We start from the raw sequence: 10,745 nt of genomic DNA on the forward strand, positions 1-10,745 counted from the left end.
AGAAGGTGGTACCATTTCCACTGAAACTATTCCAAAAAATTGAAAGGGAAAGGAATAGAAGGAACTTTTTGGAACACATCAAAAAAATTGAAGAGGAGGGACTCTTCCCTAATTCATTGTATGAGGCCAGCATCATCCTGATACCAAAACCTGACGGAAATACAACAAAAAAGAAAAACTTCAGGCCAATATCCCTGATGAACATAATGCAAAAATCCTTAAGAAAATACTGGCAAACTGAATCCAGCAGCACATCAAAAAGCTTATCCACCATGATCAAGTTGGATTGATCCCCGGGATGCAAGTTTGGTTTGACACACAAAAATCAATAAATGTGTTTCATCTCAAAAACAGAAATATAGACAACAACCACATGATTATCTCAATAGATGCAGAAAAGGCCTTTGATAAAATTCAATATCCCTTTATGTTAAAAACTCTCAATAAACTGGGTATTGGGGGAACATATCTCAAAATAATAAGAGCCATATATGAAAACCCACAGCGAATATCATACTGAATAGGCAAAAGCTGGCAGCATTCCTCTTGAAAACTGGCACAAGACAAGGATGCCCTCTCTCACCACTCCTATTCAACATAGTATTGGAAGTCCTGCCCAGGGCAATCAGGCAAGAGGAGGAAGTAAAGTGTATTCGAATAGAAAGAGAAGTCAAATTATATTTGTTTGCAGATTACATGATCCTATATCTAGAAAACTCCATAGTCTCAGCCCCAAAGTATCTTAAGCTGCTAAACAACTTCAGCAAAGTCTCAGGATATAAAATCAATGTGTAAAAATCGCTAGCATTCCTATACACCACCAACAAGCAAGCAGAGAGCCAAATCATAAATGAACTCCCATTCACAATTGCTACAAAAAGAATAAAATACCTAGGAATACATCTAACAAGGAAAGTGAAGGACCTCTTCAAGGGGAGCTACAAACCACTACTCAGAGAAATCAGAGAGTATACAACAAATGGAGAAACATTCCATGCTCATGGACAGGAGGAATCAATATTATGAAAATAGCCATACTGCCCAAAGCAATTTATAGATTCAATGATGTTCCCATTAAGTTACCACTGACATTCTTCACAGAATTAGAAACAACTATTTTAAAATTCATATGGAACTTAAGAAAAGCCAGAATAGACAAGTCAATCCTAAGCAAAAAGAACAAAGCTGGAGGCATCATGCTATCTGACTTCAAACTATACTACAAGGCTACAGTAAACAAAACAGCATGGTACAGGTACAAAAATGGACACATAGACCAATGGAATAGAATAGAAAACTGAAAAATAATGCCATATACCTACAGCCATCTGATCTTCTGCAAACCTGACAAAAACAAACAATGGGGAAAGGGTTTCCTACTTAATAAATGGTGCTAGGAGAACTGGCTAGCCATAGGCAGAAAATTGAAATTGATTTCATTTTTATATAGGGTTGGAGGTCTAGTTTCATTCTCCTGCATATGGACACCCAGCTTTCACTGCACCATTTATTGAAGAGACTCTCTTTTCCCTAGTATTTGTTCTCGGCAGTTTTGTCAAAAATTAGTTGGCTGTAAATATGTGGATTAATTTCTGGGTTCTCTCTTCTGTTCCATTAGTCTTTGCATCTGTTTTTATGCCAGTACCATGCTGTTTAGGTTATTATAGCTTTCTAGTATATTTTGAGGTCTGGTAGTATGATGCCTCAAGCTTTGTTCTTTTTGCTCAGGATTGATTTGGCTCTTCAGGGTCTTTTGTGGTTCCATTTGAGTTTTAAGATTTTTTTTCTATTACTGTGAAGAATGTCATTCATACTTTGATAAGGATTGCATCAAATCTGTAGATTGCTTTGGATAGTATTGTCATTTTAACAATATTAGTTTTTCTGATCCATTAGCATGGGATGTCTTTACATTTCTTTTCTTCAATTTCTTTCATCAGTATTTTGTAGTTTTCCTTGTAGAGGTCTTTCACTTCTTTTTTTTATTATTATTATACTTTAAGTTTTAGGGTACATGTGCACAATGTGCAGGTTTGTTACATATGTATACATGTGCCATGTTGGTGTGCTGCACCCATTAACTCGTCATTTACATTAGGTATATCTCCTGGATCTTTCACCTCTTTAGTTAAATTTGTTCCTAAGTATTTTATTTTATTTTATTTTTTGTAGCTATTGTAAATAAGATTGCCTTTTAAATTTCTTTTTCAGCTAGTTTATTGTTAGTGAATAAAAATACTACTGATTTTTATATATTAATTTTGTATCCTGCAACTTTACTGAATATCAGTTCTAAGAGGTTTTCTGCTAGAGTCTTTTGGTTTTGCTATATATAAGATTATGTCATCTGCAAACAGACAATTTGACTTTCTCCTTTCCAGTTTGTATACTAGAAGAAAACATAGGGAAACACTTCAGGACACTGGTCTAGGAAAATATTTTATGAATACGACCTCAAAAGCACAGGCTGAAATAAACAAATGGGATTATGTCAAACTAACAACCTTCCACACAGCAAAGAAAACGATCATTAACGGAGTGAAAAGACAGCCTACTGAATGGGAGAAAAATATTTGCAAGCTACTCATTCAACAGGGGATTAATATTCAGAATATGCAAGGAACTCAAACATCTTTTTTTTCCTTGATGGAGTCTTGCTCTGTCACCCAGGCTGGAGTGGAGCAGTGTCACCATCTTAGCTCACTGCAACCTCTGCTTTCTGGGTTCAAATGATTCTCGTGCCTCAGCCTCCCAGATAGCTGGGATTACAAGCATGCACCACCTGGCCCGGCTAATTTTATATTTTTAGTAGAGATGGGGTTTCACCAAGTTGGCCAGGCTGGTCTTGAACTCTTGACCTCAGGTGATCCGCCTGCTTCATCCTCCCAAAGTGCTGGGATTACAGGTGTGAGCCACTGCACCTGGCCATGGAACTCAAACATCTCAACAACAAAAAAACAAACAATCTGATTTTAAAATAGGCAAATGATCTGAACAGATGTTTCTCAAAACAAGACATACAAATGATCAAAATACATGAAAAAATCCTCAACATCATTGATGTTTCAGGGAAATGCAAATCAAAACCATAATGAGATGTTATCTTACCCCACGCAGGATGGCTATTATCAAAAAGACAAAAAAAAATTGCTGCTGAGGATGCAGAGTAAAGGAAACTCTTATACACTGTTGATGGAAATGTAAACTAGTATAGTCACTATGGTGAACAGTATGGAAGTGCCTCAAAGAACTACAAATATTACTATCACAGGATCCAACAATCCCACTACTGGCCATTTATCTAAAGGAAAGGAAAGCAAGTATCCAAGAAATACCTGTGCCCACAACTTCATTGCAGCACTACTCACAATATCCAAATAAGGAATCAATCCAGGTGTCCAACAACAGACAAGTGGATAACAAAAATGTGATACATATACACAATGGAATACTATTCAAGTGTAAAAAAGAATGAAATCCTCTTATTCATGGCAACATGGGTGGAACTGGAGGATATTATGTTAGGTGAAATAAGCCAGGAATAGAAAGTAACACTGCATATTCTCACTGATTTGTGGAAATGAAAAAATATTGATCTCAAAGAAATAAAAAGCAGAACAGGGGATACTAAAGGCTGGGAAGAGCAAGAAGAAGGGAGAGATAGAGAGAGATTAGTTAAAGGATATAAAATTGCAGCTAGATAGGAGGAATAAGTTCTAGTGTTCTATAACACTGCAGGATGATGATAACATATTATATAGACTCAAATAGCTAGGAAGAGAATATTGAATGTTCCTAACACAAATAAATGATAAATGTTTGAGATGGAAGATATAATTACTCTGATCTTTTCGTTATATATTATATGTGTTGAAACATCACTACATACCCCCTGAATATATACAATTGTTATTTTTCAATTAAAAATAAAAATAAAAAAGACGTGCAAAAAATAAATAAAAAAAGAATAGCCAAAATCCAGAACAACACCAAAAGCAGGTAAATATATGGAACAAGATATGGAACAACATGAACTTTCATTCATTGCTTATAAGAATGCAACATTATATAGACATTTGGAAGACACTTTGGCATTGTTTTACAAAACTAATCCTACCATACAATGCAACAATAATACTCCTTTGTATTTTACCCAAAGGAATTGAAAGCTTATGTTTTCAATCCTTTACACAAAAACCTGCACACAACGTTTTTAGCAGCCTTATTCATAATTGCCAAAACTTGGAATCAAAAGATGTCCTTCAATAGGTCAACAGATAGATAAACTGTGGTTCATCCAGACAATGGAATATTATTGAGCACAAAAAAGAAGTGAACGATCAAACATTGAAATGATATGGAGGAAACTTAAAAGCACGTTATTCAGTGAAAGAAGCCAATCTGGAAAAGCTACATACAGCATGATTCTAACTATATACGACATTCTGGAAAAGGCAACACTATGGAGACAGTAATAATGTCAGTGGTTTCTAGGAGTGAGGGTAGAGCAAGGGATGAATAGATGGAGCACAGAGAATTATTAAGGCAGTAATCTTTATGGTACTATAATGAAGGATATATATCATTATACATTTGCCCAAACTCATGGAATGTCCAATACCAAGAGTGAACCCTAGTGTAAACTATGGACCTTGGGTGATTATGATGTGTCAGTGTAGGTTCATCAACTGTAACAAATATATGACCCTGTGGGGGATGTTGATCACAGGGGAGGCTATTTATGCATGTGTGGGGGCAGAGACATATGAGAAATCTCTATACCTTCTTTTCAATTTTGCTATGTACCTAAAATTGTTCTTGAAAAAATCCTTTAAGGCAAAAAATAAATTTAAAAAAATAGAATAAAAAACTCCTAAACCAAATTTATTCAGATTTCTATTTTATAACATTTACCTTAAATCCTCTGTAGAAAAACTAAGAATATACATTAATAAATAATTCTCATCTCTTCCTCTGGCTTCTCTAATTTCTTATCACTTAGATATTTCCTTCAGATGTCATTTTATTCACATGCCTTCTTAGGCTCTGTTTATCTCTCATATAAAATCATTGATTAATAATTTGTGCACATATGTAGAAGGGAAGGGAGGTCTTTTCTTCTTCCTCCTATCACAACCTCTAATTTTTGCATGTAGATTTTGTTTGGCTTGTAGATGTTACTTAAGAAGAGCAAATCTACTGTGATAACTGCTACCCCATATCATACATTACTTCTTTCTATTCGTGGTCTTAACTTTGTTGGTGAGAACTCTATTTTATGTTTTCTGTATTTCTCTTTTCTTTTGCCTACTTTACTCTGCAATATGCCATATTTTACCTTGTGGGCATGAGTTCCAAACAAAATTCTTCCTGGATGACTGTGTGGGTACCCTACCTAAAAGCAATTAGTTATTGCAACCCAAATTACCAACACAATATAACTGGATCATGCTAATTTTTGGTTTAGTACTTTACTGTAGGTTATTGAAGCTGTTTGGCATTTTAATTTTTCAAAATGCTTCAGGAGGTTTTTGATCACTTTATAATAAAACTTTATTAAGCAAGATACACATATAACATTATTTTACAAAAGAGCTGAGACACTGGCATGTGGTTTGGTATAAGAGTGAAGGCCATGGCCTCTGAAATGGGACTACTTGGGTTTGAGCTCTAGCTTTTTCACTTAACTACTATGTGAGCTTGAATAAATTACTTAATCCTTCTGTATTTCAGTTATTGATCTTGTTTTGTAATCTGTAAAATGGGCATTAAAATAGTACTTTTAGCTCATAGATTGATGCATATGTATTATTACTTTGGTGATTTTTAATTGTCATAATAAAACAGTCAAAACTAGTCTGTAGTAAACTTGTACATAATTACATTTAATTGCTCTATCTTCTTGCCTCATGGCTCTTTGTTGTTGAATTTCCATTATCCAGAGAGAGCTGTCCCTTGCTCTCTCGCTCTTTACTTGGACTTTGGAGAACAACAACAAAAAGCTACCATGTGTAAAATGAAGCTAAAAAGAAGTTGATGATTTAAATAAATGAGCATGTTTCTTATAAAATTCAGGAAGGATAAAGAACTCCACTCAGTTCATTAACCAGTTACTAAATGGTGTTTGCATTATCCACATGAATACTAAATGAATTCATTATGATATGTGCTATTACAGTGAATAGCAAATGAACTCATAACTATGGGCTCCATAAAAATATTCCTAATGGAGAAGTTATGCATTGTCAAGCTGCTTTCTAGAGTAACTGGGGCTTATATTGAAATGGGCAAAATAAATAATATGAGGCACAACATTGGTTAGTTGGAGTTATTTTAGTAGGTTCTTTAGAACTGAAAATACAGTTTATGTCTTGATAAAATGTCAGTGGCCTCAGATCACTCCATTATTTGTTTATGTCCTTTATTACTGATGGCTGATGTCTAGCTTTGTCTGTGATTCAAAGACAAAGATACAATTATATGCAGCTGGTCAACAGGAAAGCTTTGGTCTGTGATAAGACAGACTATGTGAAAAAGTCTTGAAGAGTTTGCAACCTTTTCTGCTCAGAGACTATCCAAAGAAATGGTTAGCACACTTCATCAATCTCAGGTCAGTTGCTATACATAAAATCCAGTGAACCCCCTCATCTGCCAACTTTTTCTCAGTATAAGAATAAAATAATTTTTAGAATTAACAGCATGATTGGTGTACCCCTGAAGTAATATTTGGATTTTATTGACCATCATAAATAGATTATGAAATCATGGCAGCAACAAAAGCACAGATGGTGTCTTATAAACCTGCAAACTACAAGTGATGAGCCCTAAGACGAGTCAGAGGGCACTCGTGGGCCATCAGTGGTCTAGAAACCACACTACACACTATGATAACCTCTCATTTAAATGCAGAATTAATTTCTTAGGAAAAAAATGACACAGCATCTTGGTTTCATGGTAAAATTAAAATACTTCCTGTGCTGAATTTTCAAGAATCACCAGTTTTATAAGTAATCCTAATCTATGGATTACATTTGAGCCTATGAAAGTAAAATTTAGCAAGAAGTATAAACAGTAGAAATAGAAAGTAAAACTTCACTAATGTAAGCAGTTTAACAATTCAGATAACATTACTTGCAGGCCCACAATGCCCAAGGCATTATGGGGAATGCACAAATAAGACTGTATTAGACTTCCAGAAATTTTTAATGTAGTCTATCATGTACCTATTTAAACATGATATACATTAAACTGGAATAAGACTTAGAACCAATATACACATATGCAGTGTGAATAATAGCAGCAAAATAATAGCAAACATGTACATAACACTTTCTATGTGCCAGGAACTGTTTTAAGTAAGCACTGTACATAAATTTATTCATTTAGTACCCACAATAAGCCTGTGCTGTGGGCCCTATTATTATCTCCAATTTACATGAGAGGATACTGAGCTGCAGATGGTTAAGTAACTCAGAGGTAGGTAACTGACCACAACATTGTCATGCTTTACTTCCATGATGGAGGGTTGTTGCTGAGAAGCAGCTGCTGCATGTAGAGAATGATGAGATTGTAGAAGAGGGGAGAGCCACAAGATTCATGATACCGTGAGAAAGAATTTTTGCAGATTAGAGAGATCATGGAGCCTAGAGAAGGATTTTCCAAAAAAGGGTTTTTTTTTTTTTTTTTTTGGTTTGACAATTAGAACATCATGGTGTTTTTAAGTAAGTGGCACGTGGAAGTAGTAGGACATGGAAGTTATTTCCAGATTGTTTCTAGTTAAGGAAATACGAGGGCATAAAAAATTAAAGATAGTTTTTGAAACCTTTTTTTTTTTTAAGAAGTTTGGTCTTGAGTGCCAAGGGAGTAGGGATGAAATTAGTTTTCGGGTATTAAAAAAGTAGAAGGAGTTTTACAAAATAAGCATGAAGTAGATTTAAGAGTGATCATCAGAGAAGAGTCAATGGAGGGAGAGAGACTGAAGATAAAATCATCCTCTATGAAATCATATGCATACCTTCTAAGCTACTGTTAGCAGAGAAAATTGATAAAAAATACAGCTCTTTGGTTAATTACATTGGCTGGATATCACCATTTTGTGAGGGTCCATATGGTTTGTGGGTCATCTTCCCAGCTCAGAGTCTTCAGATGGTCAAAGGATCAACTTTATTTTTTGTTATGATCCACAGAGGAAAGGAAAAGAGATAATGACCAAGACAAAGAAAGAAGTGAACCCGGGGAGAACCTTCAGGGAATCTAAGAGAAGAGTTTTTTTAAGTTTTTCAATGTGTAGACCATTTTAATATCGTGTCAATGTTTCCTGAAGAAGTTGTTGGCGGTCTTTAAGATTCCTGGACTTTCACCAAAGAGAGTCTTAAAACACACACACACACACACACACACACACACACACACACACACACGCCTCCAATCAATATCATAGAACACAAGAGTTGTAGTTTCAATTTCCTCTATTACTTAAATATATTATATGTATTATGGTTCAAGTACGTTTGATTATTCTTAACTTTGTGAAAACATGGCATTAGAGACTAACTTAATAATGACACATTTCAGGAATGAGAAAGCTTCTAACACAGCACCTAGTAAAATGTTAAATGAATTAAACACAATTAAATGAGATTTGACACGCATTATCTCATTTAACATTCACAAGAATCCTGTGAAGCAGATGTTATTATCCTGTCTTATAGTTGAGGAAACATGTTAATGGCATGCCTAAAATAACAGAGGGGTAAGAGGAAAAGCATGGTCTTGAATGGATTCTACATAACCTACTAGTATTTTCTTATGCATTACATTTGTTTCATTTGTACTTAAAATTGAAAGTGTAAGGCAAGTATAAACTTCAAGGTGCTATTAAAAATTGTATTTTTTAGTGTAATGATGTCTGAAAATTGTTCACAAGTATTTTACTATGGCTTACACCTCAGCAGAAACAGCTCTCAGCACTTTCAAAGTGGGACTATTTTATACAGCCTAAAAATGCTCTCCAATAAGGCTTCTTAGTAGCAACTCCGCTGACAACCTCTTGAATGTAATGTTAAGTAAGACAGAATCTAGTCCGGGCGCAGTGGCTCACGTCTGTAATTCCAGCACTTTGGGAGGCCGAGGCGGGCAGATCATGAGGTCAGGATATCGAGACCACCCTGGCCAACATGTGAAACCCCGTCTCTACTAAAAAAAAAATATATATATATATACACACACAAATTAGCTGGGCGTGGCGGCGGGAGCCTGTAATCCCAGCTACTCAGGAGGCGGAGGCAGGAGAATCGCTTGAACCAGGGAGCTGGAGGTTGCAGTGAGCAGAGATAACGCCACTGCACTCCAGCCTGGGGACAGAGCAAGACTCCATCTAAAAAAAAAAAAAAAAAAGAAAAAAAAAAGAACAGAATGTAAATGGGAAGAAATGTTTTCCTGGGAGAAAAATGATACTGGTCTCTATTTCCCCTCCTGGAGGTAATTGACAATCAATTGCTTAATTGTTCTCAGAATCTTTCCTATTTCTACCATAAATGTCACAATAACAGCACAAATGTACTAATACAATCATTTATTCATTCAACAAACTCTTTTTGAGTAATTATTAGTGGCTAGGCATTGGGATTATCATTTTTGGATACAAAGAAAAATAGAGTACAGAATCCATTACCTCAAGGCTCTTGTTCTCTAGCATGTGTGTCTTAGGTATTTAAACATATGTTCACAGGTACAAAATATTGCACATAGAACTTTAAAATGCATAACAAAAGAAATCATATTTGTGATAACTTAGTATTATGCTCCAAACTAATAGTTGTCACAGATTATTCAAATTCTAAACCTTTCCGGGAAGAAGTGCCGTATACAGCACTTCTCTTCCATCCTCGCATCTCCCTTCCCACCAGTACAATGCCTTGGACTTACGTAAAGTGTAGATTTACTGAGTGCCAGACAAATGCAAAATTGGCTTTTCCTCTGCTCCTTTCTTTTACATGTAAAATGTAGATTCACAAAGCTAATCAGACCCTCACAAGAATGTAACCACTTGTCTCATTGCTTACCCACTCTCCTTTTTTGTTCCCCTCCCGCTTGCTCTTTCCCCTTTAAATATTGAAGCTCCCAAAACCATCTTTTGAAAAAGCACTGGTCACACATCCTGCTATGACTTGCATTTCTTCTTCCCAGGAGTGTCTTCAACCTTGGCAAAATTAACCTCTAATTGATTGAAATTTGCCTCAGTCACTGTTCAGTTTACAAAGTTACCCAGCTCTTCTGCTTAAATCTTTCTCTTAAGCTCCCTTTAACTACCTTTACTGGACTTCTCTACCTTGTTGTTTCTTAGACATCTAAAGTTCAGCATATTAAAAACCAATGTTGTGGGGTTTTTTAAACATAATGATGTCCCTTTATTCATTGTGGTACTTCAAAAACAAAATACATACATTATTAAGAAAATAAAACACAGCAAAGCAGAATTGAACATTTGAGTACTTTTTGCCTCTTCCTTTTCTCTTACCAGAAACCATCTAAAGAGGTAAAGAATGGTAATTGTTTTCTAGATATGTTGAAAATATTTTTTTCTTTTCTTTCCAACTTTTATTTTACTTTCACTGGGTACATGTACAGGTTTGTTATGGATACATTGCATGTCATGGGGGTTTGGTGTGCAGATAATGTTGTTATCCAGGTAATCAGCATAGTACCCAATAGGTAGGTTTTCAGTGCTCACCCTCCTCCCAACC

Source organism: Homo sapiens, chromosome 1 (assembly GCF_000001405.40).
Source record: "Homo sapiens chromosome 1, GRCh38.p14 Primary Assembly".
Lineage (NCBI taxonomy): Eukaryota > Metazoa > Chordata > Mammalia > Primates > Hominidae > Homo > Homo sapiens.